Genomic DNA, 12039 nt, shown 5'->3' with positions numbered 1-12039 from the left:
GTTTCTCAAACCGGGTTGGGTGCCCGGTTCCGACTGGTTTCTGAAGTTGTAGGATGAACAGATAAATCATTCTGAATCTGCACTTTTCCTTAGAGAGTTGGGGGGAGAAACACTTCTTTTGTGTTATGTAAGAACAGACTGATTTTACCATCACAGACAAGCCTTCAGAGACTGGCAGGCTTGTGGTGGCCGGTTCAGGCTCTGCCTCTTGTCCTGCTGGAATCGTCACAGGTCCCCAGTTCCAGAGAAAGCTATGGAGAAGCACATCCAAAAAAGTGCTGTAAATTACACCATCTGGAAGAAGTCAGAAAAATACTTGTGTGTGGAAAACATTTGTCCAGAGCCACCTTCTAGTCTATCGTTTAAAATTGTTGTTGAATGAGTGACATCATGTCATTACTGAGAGCACAGACTTTGCCCACAGACTGCCGGGTTCAAAATGGCCTGTCACTCGCCAGCTGCCTGACCTTGAGAAGTTGACTGAGCACCCCTGTCCCTCAGTGTTCTCATCTGTGAAGTGAGATTATTGCAAGAGTTAATTGCATTATGATTATTTTAATAATTGATGTGAATGGCTGCTGCTTGTGTGGTATCTGCAATGCCCGGCCTATTTAGACCGTTCCCATAGATGCTCCCTGAGTAAGCCCGCTCTAGATGGCAAGGAGGTGGACACTGGCTTGGAAGTAATCTAGTGAGTCAGACAGACCTTTGGATCACTTTATATTTTCTCTATATCTGGACTGTACTTCAAGGTGCCATTTATATAAAAAATGGTTATGTCCCCAGACCCACTGGCAAATTATTCAGACATCAACTAAAATGGGCAGACTGCATAGGTAATGAAATTAAGTGAGATTTGTATTTACCAACATAATTCATATCATTTTAAACAACTAGGAATCTGTCCTGGTGACCATTATATTCCTTGAATTTGTGAGCGACAAGCCACAAAATAATGAATCAATTTGCCAAAAGATTGAAATTCTAACTTACAGATAGGATACAGAATCACTGTGTTAGTGTTGAGACTATTAAGAAAATAAGTATGGAGAGGTCAGAATTCCATGACAACTATGGACTTTAGCATCTAAATGTGAGATTATTATTCCCCTACTTTCTTCTTACTGGAAGTTTCCCGTCTCTGATACCTATTCTAAAGTAACATTCTCCAGCAGAAATATAATGCTAACATCACATGGAATTTAAAATTTTCTGGCACTCATGTTTGTAAAAGTATAACAAAACAGGTGAATTTTAATAATTTGTTAATTTAGTTCAATATATCCAGAACATTATTATTCCAGCATGTAATTATGTAAAAGTTATGGGTGAGATATTTACCTTCCTTCTTTGATATTATCTTTGAAATTCAGTGTATATCTGATATTCGCAACACGTCTCGATCTGGGCTAGCCCAGGTCAGGGGCTCTGTAGCCACATGGAGCTAACGCCTCCCATGTGGGAACGGCAGTGCCGGAAGATAACAACCAAGCTCATTTGCGAAGATCTCAGAGATCTATTTGTGAGTATAGTTTATAGATAATTCAATGAGGCCTAAAGACAGCATTTCAAAGAAATTTACTTCATGCTCATTTGTTACCAAGTGGAACCCAAATGTGACCTCTCTATTTCTTTGATCTTATGAGAATAGCTAAAGGATCCATTTTAAGCTACATATATGGTATTTAAATGGTGTACACTTATATAGTATTTATATACACAAATGATTTGCTTTTTATTTTTTCCAGTATAAGAATAATTCATATTTGTTAGATATGAAACATTTATAAATTATTAGAATGCGGAAGGAAGGGAAAAAAGTCACTCCTAGCTCCAGTTAATGTTTACAAATAAGGCTAGTATGCGGGTGCATTACCTTACACAATACGGTATTGTAACCACAGGTTTGTATGTCACTTCTGACTTAATATTTTAATATAGATTTTCCATGATATTATAAATTATTATGCCATCTTTAATAAATTTTAAAAATCCAGCTGATGAATCAGAGTTCACTTAACATAAATACACTGAAACAACTATTTCCAAACATTCACAGTGCCTAAGTACTCCTTAGGCATTAAGCATCATTTTCTTATAAGAACTTCCCAGACGTTTTAAAGGCCTCTTAACCCAAGTTGTCCAAGTATTTCTTCTGTTTTAAGGGACAAAAAGAAGACTACTGTGCAAGAGCCACGGACGTGTTAATGTTCAGGAGTGAGATTTCTTTCTTCTTTTCCGTTCTTGTGCTTTTTAAAATTTAAAATGTTAAAATATTATTTTTATATTGATTATCTAGAACTTTCAGTACAGTGTGTGATGTGGTAGTGATGGCTGGTACCCCATGCTGGTCCTGTTTTGGAGCAGATGCTTCAAATGTATCCTGTTCTCAATATGCTTATAGGTTTTAACCACCCGCCACTGGGCTTAGAACATTCCTTCCATCTGAGTTTCCTGGTGCTCATTTCTTGTTATAATATTTTAGGGATGAATTTTTTTCAATGTTTTACCTTTTTAGATTAAGATAGCCACATTTTTCTTTTTTTAATCTGTTACTGTGGTGTATGATATTTTAAACTGTTATAATGTTAAATCACTTACATTTCTTGAATCAACCCAAAATCTTCATGTTGAATTGCCCTTTTCATATACACAATGCTGCACTTATCTCTATTACAGCGTTTAGCGTCTTTAGTCCACGTTCTTGTGTGAAGCTGCCCTGCCATCTCATTTTTTTTCTTTCTTTCTTTCTTTTTCTTTCTTCCTTCCTTTCTTTCTTTTCTTTTCTTTCTCTCTTTCTTTCTTTCTTTCTTTCTTTCTTTCTTTCTTTCTTTCTTTCTTTCTTTCTTTCTTCCCTTTCTCTCTCTTTCTTTGTTTCTCTTTCTCTCTTTCTCTCTCTCTCTCTTTCCTTCCTTCCTTTCTTTTCTTTCTTTCCTTTTTTTTTTTGACAGAGTCTTACTGTATTGCCCAGGCTAGAATGCAGGGCAATCTTAGGTCACTGCAACCTCCACCTCCCAGGTTCAAGTGATTCTCCTGCCTCAGCCTCCTGAGTAGCTGAGATTACAGGCATGAGCCACCACACCTGGCTAATTTTTGTATTTTTAGTAGAGACAGGGTTTTACCATGTTGGCCAGGCTGGTCTGGAACTCCTAACTTCAAGTGATCCACCTGCCTCGGCCTCCCACATTCCTGGGATTAAAGGTGTGAGCCACTGCGACTGGCTGCTTCATTTTCTTTTACTAGACTCACCTGGCTTTAGTGTGAAAGCTATACTGGATTCATAGAAGAAGCTGGGAAGTGGCTCCTCTTTTTTTAATGTTTTGGAAGAATTTTACAATGTTAGATTGGAATATTCCTTAAAAATAATTTGTAGAACTTTCCTCTTAAAATATAAGAACCTCATCTTTCCTATGTGGAAAGGTTTTTAACTACTGATACAATGTATTTAGTTGTTATATGACTATGCATGCTTTCTATTTCCTATTCTGGTAGGGTTCATAAGCTATATTTTTCTTCTAGAATTTATACTTGCATCTAAGTTTGCAAATTGCCTTTGGTATGAGATTGTTCTGTACCTACTTATCTTTTTAATATGCTATAATAATAGTTATCTTTTTTAATATATAGTTTTGCTTATTTGCACCTCCTCATTCAAAAAAAGTACTTGTTCATTTCCACTAGAGGTTTGTCCATTTTATTAGTTCTTCAAAGAAACAACTTTTAATCTTTAAAAACATTTTGGGTACATTTTTCAACTTGATTGAAATCTGCTCTTATCTCAATTTTCTTCCATTTTCTTCAGATGTGTTGTTTTTTTTTCTTCCCCTAAATCCTTAGGTTGTATATTTGCACATTAATTATGTCTTTATTTTCATAAAAGATTTAAGGCTATCCCTTTCTCTTTAATACAATTTTCACTGCTTTTTGTAAATTTTTTAATGTACTATTTTTGTTATCACTCAGTTTCATATTTAAATTTTAAATTTTCATTGTAGTTTTATATCCTATGATTTTTAAAGGAATTCCCATTCAATTAATTTCTAATGTATGCAGATTTAAAATTTTCTTTTTGTTATTCATTTGTAACTGAAGTAAACTGTGGGCTGTATACAACAATTCTTCTGAAATGTGTGGAGATTTGTTTTATGGCCTGATATCTCTCAGTTTTTCTTTTCTTTTTTTTTTTTTTTTTTGAGATGTGGTCTTGTTCTGTCGCCTAGGCTGGAGTGCAGTAGTTCGATCTTGGCTCACTGCAGCCTCGCCCCCTGGGTTCAAGTGATTCTCCTGCCTGCCTCAGCCTCCCAAGTAGCTGGGATTACAGGTGCCCACTGCAATGCCTGGCTAATTTTTGAATTTTTAGTAGAGACAGGGTTTCACAATGTTGGCCAGCCTGGTCTCGAACTCCTGACCTCAAGTGATCTGCCTGCCTCCGCCTCACAAAGTGATGGGAGCCACTGTGCCCAGCCAGTTTTTCTTTTATACTGTTTATCTCTTTGCTCTGTATGCTCATTCTAAGCAATCTCTTTAGCTGTGTTTTCCAGTTGCTAAGTCTCTCTTCATTTATGTCAAATATGCTGTTTCAACTTTCTATGAAGTTTTACATTTCAACAATTATTTTAATCTTTAGAAATTTCATCATCTTCGTTTTCCAGTTTTTCTTTATTCATTATAATGTCTAGGTCCTTGCTCCTCTTGAAAACATTTCATATACAATTAGTATATTTTATACATGAAAATTCTTATATCTCTAATTTTTGTGGGTCCAAATTTGTCTTTTGTTATTTTTGGCTCTCTGTATGGTGGTTTACTTCCTTTATCCGGTGTTCTTTAACTTTGAGCTTATCATTTCCTCTTAATACTTGGAACTTCAGTAAGCTCAGTTGGTTATGCTTTTCACTAAGGAAGCCTTACATTTGCATCTGCAGAACTAAGGGGCACCATCAACCCAGGAGCAGACCAGTCCCCCGTGAAGGCAAAGCTTCTGTTTCATTCTAAAATCCTGCGCTCAGCTTCCTTTGTCACTGCTGCCTGGTTCTCAGGGAGACCTAAGACAGGTTTCCTGGGAAATGGAAAGAAGTCGACTTCTTGGAGGCCTGATCAGCCTTTGGCAACTGTACCAATGCATCCCGTCTAAGGCCGTTCCTCACTGTAGCTGGAGAGCCTCTCAGAGAACCTTGCTCACGGCACCGTGGCAGACATGACTCACTTCAGCTTCTGTAGCCTACGTGCACTTAGCTCTAAAATTGTGTAATAAGAGATATTCTTCTAAGAGAAAATACATTTTTGTCTCAAATTATATACCCTCAAATTACGCAACTCAATAGATTCAATAGATTCCTACTGAATTACAGATATCACCTGAACTTTAATTTTCTTAGAAAGTTAGGGTCAAGACCCATAAGAAATGAACTTATGAGAAGTAATGTTATGATAAAAATTAAATATTCAGCTTACTTTACTTTTTTTTCCTTTAAAACTCTGGTAACATCATGCAGGTAAGAATGTACATTCCTGGAGGGCAGAAGCCCTCTGTGTCTGTCTCATTTTCTGCTGGTTCTCCAAAGCCTGACAAAGTGTCTGGTATAACAGAGGCTTGATAAATATCGATCAATTATCAATATCACAGATATGATTGAGTGCCTGTTCTGTAGCATGTACTGGTATATGTGCTGGGGGGATAGAGGTGTGAACAAAGCAGGGTTATTTTTAAAACCTGCTTCCACAGGTTTTTACAGTCATTTATTTTGTTAACATTTTAGTATATTAACTTGTATTAGTAAGTTAATCAACTTCTAGTGAAAAGTTTTCAGAGAGGGAGGTCTTGTCTTCCTGGTGCTATGGCTGAGGTTACTTTCGCTGGTTTCTGTAGGGAAGAATTAGTTCCCATCTGCCTGTTTGGTATCAGCAACCACTACACATTTTTGTAAAACAATTGCATCAGGACTCTTAAAAAAATAATGTCTGTTTCTAAAACACCATTCATGTCACCATCGTAATTCCTATAACACGGTTTTTTTGAATTCCTGAAAATGTGACTTCAATATAATTCTGAGACGTTTGAAAGCGTGGGGTCTAAATACCTAGCTATTGGATGTGCTTTCAGAGGTGAAGATTTGGGTAAATTCCTCCTAAGTGGCTTTGCAGAAGAAGGGTTTTCTTTTTTTTTTTTTTTTTTTTTTTTCTGAGATGGAGTCTTGCTCTTTCGCCCAGGCCAGACTGCAGTGGCGTGATCTCCGCTCACTGCAAGCTCCGCTTCCCGGGTTCACGCCATTCTCCTGCCTCAGCCTCCCGAGTAGCTGGGACTACAGGCGCCCGCCACCGCGCCTGGCTAATTTTTTGTATTTTTAGTAGAGATGGGGTTTCACCATGTTAGCCAGGATGGTCTCGATCTCCTGACCTCGTGATCCGCCAGCCTCGGCCTCCCAAAGTGCTGGGATTACAGGCGTGAGCCACCGCGCCCGGCCAGAAGGGTTTTCATTGGTCTCAGGCAGTCCTCACTTTTAGGTGTTGGAGGTGGTAAGCAGGGGGCGGATCAGGCTTTTTGGACCCTGACTGGTATACAAATTGTGATGGGTAGGGGTCCTTTTAAAGAACAAGAACACGAAATTCCCAATAGGGACTTTAGGACGGAGCGTCGGGAGAGTAGCCAGGGGGACTGTGGAGGTTCAGTTGCATTCTCTCTAGGGAGGGTTTGCCTTTGGGAAGAATAGAAACAGGCAGCTCCCAGTGGCCAAACTTTGTGTCTGGCTCTTTCCCTAAGGATCTGGGGGCTTGGGCTTCACTCAAAGTTTCCTTTTCCTTCCTGCATCAGCACAAATGCCTTTCATATGGACAAGGTGGTGCTCACTCTTGAGGAAAGTAAGCATTCATTTCAGGTAGCATTGTCTTTACTGCAATGGATTTTTTTTTTTTAATTTGGAGATGGACCTTGAATCTCCTTTGATCTAATTAGTCCATGTGCATTGGTGATCTGTGATACAGACAAAGCTGCACGGTGGACACGCTCAGAGGGCAGCACAGGGCGTGCAGGGCATTCCTCAGCATGCTCAGCTGCAAGGCCGCCGTGATAGACATGCAGGCAATGTCTGCTGGTTTCGTGAAAGGAAGATTGAATGTGATTTGGAATGCAGAGCGTGGTATTGTACAATTTGCAATAGAAGTGGGAAATTTAATGACTGTTGCTAGTAGATTATTGCCATTGAGATTATGAGAAAGAGGCATATAAACATTGATGCAGGCTTTGGATAAGAGAAAAAGAATTTTCACTGTGGACCACAGTGATAACTTGAATAATGCCTTTTAAAAATGACATTTTGTGATTGACTCTAAAAGGTCAAATGATGAATATTGAGTCAGAGGGGGAAGGTGCGGCCACAGGCTTGATCAGGTTCCATGGATAGCAAAATTTCTTCACTTTATACCTGACAGACGAAAAGGACAGTCGCTTGGGTTCCCAGGAGGGCCTGGCCTGGGGTGGTGGGGATGCTGGTGCAGGCTCAGAGCTGTCCACCCTGAGCCTGTCGGGTGCATCTCTGAGACTACCTGGGTATACATGTGGTTGTTTGCAGGAAGCACAACCACAGAGAACAGGTGTCTGTGTGTGTGTGTGTGTGCACATCTTAGGCAGGCACAGATGAGTCGTGTAGCTTCATATTGAAACGTGAAAGGAAAATAAATCTTGGGGCCCCCAAATTACCAAGCTAAAGGGAAAAGTCAAGCTGGGAACTGCTTAGGGCCAACCTGCGTCCCATTCTATTCAAAATCACCACTCAGCTCACTGAGATAAGTGCATCTCTGTATGCCTCCTTTGGAGAGGCTCATCAGGAACTGGAAAGAATGCAACCATTCCTCTCTCATCTACCTTTGACCTGGAAGCCCCTCCTGCTTCCAGTCTTCCCAACTTGGCTTTGGGTTGTCCCTCGTTTCCAGACCAAACCAAGGTTCATCTTGCATATGTTGATTGATTACCAAGCTAAAGGGAAAAGTCAAGCTGGGAATGGCTTAGGGCCAACCTGCCTCCCATTCTATTCAAAATCACCTCTGTGCTCACTGAGTTAAGTGCATGTCTGATTGCCTCCTTTGGAGAGGCTCATCAGGAACTCAAAGAATGCAACCATTCCTCTCTTATCTACCATGACCTGGAAGCCCCCTCCTGCTTCCAGTCTTCCCACCTTGGCTTTGAATGTATAGAATGTGTAAAACCAAACTGCTCTGACCACCCTGGGCACATGTCACCAGGACCTCCTGAGGCTGTGTCGCAGCCATGCATCCTCAAGCTTGGCAAAATACATTTTCTAAATTAACTGAGACCTCTCTCTGATTTTCGGGGCTCACGAAAGGGTGTAGGCTGGCTCTGCTGGGTCGCATTCCACATGGAGAAACTCTCACCTGTCACTCCTGTGGGATTTGCTGTTGAGAGGAGGGTGTGCCCCCGAGAGAGTAGCTGGACCTTTGCAGCGAAAGGCAGAGTGAGGAGCTATGGGTGGTTTTCACAGGGTTTGCTATGGGTGTCTCAGCATCCGTGAGTGTCACCCACCAAAGCCCGGAAGCGTTTCCCATCCCTACAGATGTTTAGGGGACATTTCCCTGGCTCAGTCAAGGGTTGCTGGAGGTGTGGCCATCCTCACCGGGCGGCTGGGTGGCCTGTGCTCCTCCAGATCCTTCTCAGCTTTCTCTCTCCTTTGTTTTTCTGGATTGCAGGCCAGCATGGCCCATGGTCTTCTCTTCATCTGGGCGCCTTGGATGGTGGGACAGGAGCTTGTCTCGCCAGATGTCACTGTTTCCAGGGTTCTGTCACTTGGCTCTTGATGAGGCTAGATTTTTTTGGCCCCTGCTGGGGCTTTAAGTCCTAGAGACTCCGGGCATGATGTGAAGCCTGGAATGGGCTCACTGGAAAAGACCCATCCACTGTCCTAAACAGTCATGAAGGTTAGCAGCATTGCTTACTGTCAATTGCAGGCAACGCATGGCACTGAGCGTCTTACACTCCTGCCCACCTGCCTGCCCAGGCCTTTTCCCTCTCCTCCCTCCCTCCTTCCTCCCCCTCTCACCTTTCCTCTGTCCCTTCGTAAAGTCAACCCATGTTTAGAGCGGCTTGGAATTGAAAGGAAAATGACTGATGAGTTGTGTGCCAGGCACTGTATCGGGGCCTTCCCTGTGGTCATCTCATCTAATCTAGGGCTCCCATGAACTAGGTAGCCCTGTCTCTGCCTGAGGGGCACACGCAGCTGTGAGGCTGGACTAGGCTCAGGAAGGAAAGAGCTGAACCCCATCAGGCAAGGTTTCCGGGCTTCTGGAGCTTTGGGGGCCTGTGAGGGAGACGGACTTTCTCAAACAGATGTGATTGGCACACACAGTGGCAGCAGAAGGGCCCGGAGGGAGGTGTGGGGTTGAAGGCCATGCAGGAGGATTGTGGGGGTCCAGCAGTCATCAGGGAGGACTTTCAGGGGACCCGAGGCCCCATGAGCCCAGGAGAGCTCCCATGGGAGGGAGGAGCACTTCCTCCTTGCAAAGCCCCAGCATGGGAGAGAGCAGGGGCCTTCAAGGGCCTGATGGTGACTCCTGGGCAGGCGAGGACACCAACAGCAAAGGGCACCCCCCAGGCCAGCCTTGGCAGGAAGTGACTCCGCGGCAGGGAAGAGACATGATCGTTCTCATGTCTTGAAAAGACGATGTGGGCTGGGTGCGGTGGCTCATGCCTGTAATCCCAGCACTTTGGGAGGCCGAGGCGGGTGGATCACCTGAGGTCAGGGGTTCGAGACCAAGCTGCCCAACATGGTGAAACCCTGTCTCTACTAACAATACAAAAAAAAAATTAGCTGGGCATCGTGGTGGGCACCTGTAATTCCAGCTACTTGGGAGGCGGAGGCAGGAGAATTGCTTGAACCCGGGAGGCAGAGGTTGCAGTGAGCTGAGATCAGGCCATTGCACTCTAGCCTGGGTGACGGAGCAAGACTCTGTCTCAAAAAAAAAAAAAAAAAGAAAAAAGAAAAGACGATGTAGCTCAAGGGGAGAGGACAGGAGGGGGGGCCTCGTCTCATCTTCACCAGTGAACTCTAGAAGCATCGCTGCCCCATTTTACAGGTGAGGAAACCGAGCAGGATCCAGGAGAGGATGCGACTCGGCCGGGGTCACGTGGCTCTGCCTGGGGTTTCAGAGTCAGGTGAAGGAGCCCCACCGGTGCTCAGATCAATCTGAGTTCTCCTGTTCCTGAGGCCAGTGGGCCCGGGGGGAGGCAGGAGCCGGGAGCCCCTGCCTCCCTCCGCTTCCATCTCCCACAGCCTGCTGGGTTTCCTCAGACTTTCCTCCCTCCAGAGCCCTGTTTTGGGGAGTGGCTGAAGCTCCCCACATGCGGAATGAAATCCAGAGCTCAGGATGGCCCCTGAGCCCCCTGCTCTGGTCACCTGGCCTTTTTCCCTCCCAAGTCGGTGGCTCTCCCGGCTCAGGAGGCACCTGCCACTGGCTCCTTTCCATTCTCCAGGCCTCTGCCTGGGGCCTGGGCAGTCACTGTGCCCTCCTCCGGGCACCTTTTGACCAGATGTCCTCAGGGCTCATCCCTGCTTCCTTGAGATCTGCGCTGAGACCTGACCTCAGAGGCCCATGCCTGCCTCTGTGTTTATCCTTCTGCCATGGGCACTGTCCTCTCCAACACTGACTTTGCACCCTCAAGCTTTCTGTTAGCTTGTCCCTGGTCTGCTCCCCAGACGAGAACCTGAGCCAGATGGGCAGGGCCGTCTGCTGGACAGTGCCTGCGTCTGGGAGGGTTCCAAAAACGTCATTAAGCAGCCAAGTTTGTGGACATGACTGTGGGCATCAGTGTGCTCGCCAGGAGGTGGGGAGCGGCCCTCTCTTGTGGCTCATGTCTAGGCCAGGCCACTATCTCCCCGGCGCAGGCCTGCGGGAGATTTCCTGGCTGTCCATCTGGGCAGCTGCAGTGACCGCTCCGGTTGTTAGAGCTTTGGGGTGGGCGTGCACTGTCAGGAATCTTCAGTGTCCAGGGGCTGGGTTCACATAATGAACTCACATCTCCTTTGTAAGTTCCAGAACCTCGCCAATCCACCTTCCAGCTTTAAGCCCTCTGTGACCTCCATGGTCACCATTCACTCGTGGGGTGGAGGAGCAGACAGTTCTGAGTGTGGCCCCGCCCTCCCAAGCCCGGTCTCTGCTCTTCCTCACAGCTCCTAGCTCAGTGGTGATGTTGTTTTCCTCAGTCCCCACCAATGCCTTGATTCTGTAATCTCAAACTCTCGTCTCGCTTAGGATAGCAGTTCTGCAAGGACAGGCATGATCGCGTCTTGCTATGTCATATTGACATGACAACTCAACAGCAGCTACATATGATGAGAAATGTTTTTCTGAGCATTTCTGTCTTAGCTTTTCCTTCTCCAATACTGCGCATATTCATTCTGGAGTTTGTAGGGAATCCTGGTCCAGTGGCTATTTCCTGGGAGAGTGTCTGGGTTTTGAGGAATAAAGTCATCAGTGTGGACACATTTATCCGCGATCCACTGAAGACCTGTCTACCGTCCCGGACAGTCATGGAAGGAAGCAGCATGCACTTACTTGGGAAGATTCAGGAACAGAACCCACCCTGGCAGGTGGTGTAGAGAAAAGCATATTTGGTATCTTGATGAGGCATTTAATCATCTTAATTTCATAACCAAGATAGACTCAGCAAAGCAGGAGAATCCCTGAAAATTGTCAGCTGGCTGATTGCATCGCTGTCTAAATGCATCTCCAAAGAGAGAGACATGGGCTGAGAATAATTTCCTGTGCTCTGTTACTGCCAAGGGATATGACGAGGCAGGTGAGAGGTGAGTGTAAATTGCGTGTGTGTTGAACATAATGAAGTGGTTTGAAAACAGCTGCCTGATGATAAACAGCGGAGTTTTGCTTAATGCATTAAAGAACCTCTTCACAAAACTTTTGTTGTTGTGCAAACAAATAGGCTTCTGTCCTCCTCTCAAGGTCAATGAAGCCTTGGGCTGCTGGTTGGGAATAGAATCTGCCTGCTGTAGCTTTCGTGATGTAAACACATAT

The 12039-nt window shown here is 44.3% G+C and overlaps 1 protein-coding gene across 3 annotated transcripts in view, besides 3 other annotated features; it reads left to right on the top strand.

Annotated features, from left to right (window-relative positions):
* TCERG1L (transcription elongation regulator 1 like) overlaps positions 1-12039 on the top strand; it is a 219331-nt gene that overhangs the window by 23403 nt on the left and 183889 nt on the right. The window lies entirely within an intron of this gene.
* Positions 7760-8403: an enhancer, noted in NCBI's record as "OCT4-NANOG-H3K4me1 hESC enhancer chr10:133078179-133078822 (GRCh37/hg19 assembly coordinates)". NCBI's record gives its function as "activates a minimal SCP1, AML or CMV promoter by ChIP-STARR-seq in naive H9 embryonic stem cells {active_cell/tissue: H9 hESC(naive)}" and the evidence as "EXISTENCE:reporter gene assay evidence [ECO:0000049][PMID:30033119]".
* Positions 8404-9047: an enhancer, noted in NCBI's record as "H3K4me1 hESC enhancer chr10:133077535-133078178 (GRCh37/hg19 assembly coordinates)". NCBI's record gives its function as "activates a minimal SCP1, AML or CMV promoter by ChIP-STARR-seq in naive H9 embryonic stem cells {active_cell/tissue: H9 hESC(naive)}" and the evidence as "EXISTENCE:reporter gene assay evidence [ECO:0000049][PMID:30033119]".
* Positions 10447-10962: an enhancer, noted in NCBI's record as "H3K4me1 hESC enhancer chr10:133075620-133076135 (GRCh37/hg19 assembly coordinates)". NCBI's record gives its function as "activates a minimal SCP1, AML or CMV promoter by ChIP-STARR-seq in naive H9 embryonic stem cells {active_cell/tissue: H9 hESC(naive)}" and the evidence as "EXISTENCE:reporter gene assay evidence [ECO:0000049][PMID:30033119]".

This window comes from Homo sapiens, chromosome 10 (assembly GCF_000001405.40).
Source record: "Homo sapiens chromosome 10, GRCh38.p14 Primary Assembly".
Taxonomy (NCBI): Eukaryota; Metazoa; Chordata; class Mammalia; order Primates; family Hominidae; genus Homo; species Homo sapiens.
Note: the sequence above shows the minus strand (reverse complement) of the source record. Positions and strands in the feature narration are given on the sequence as shown.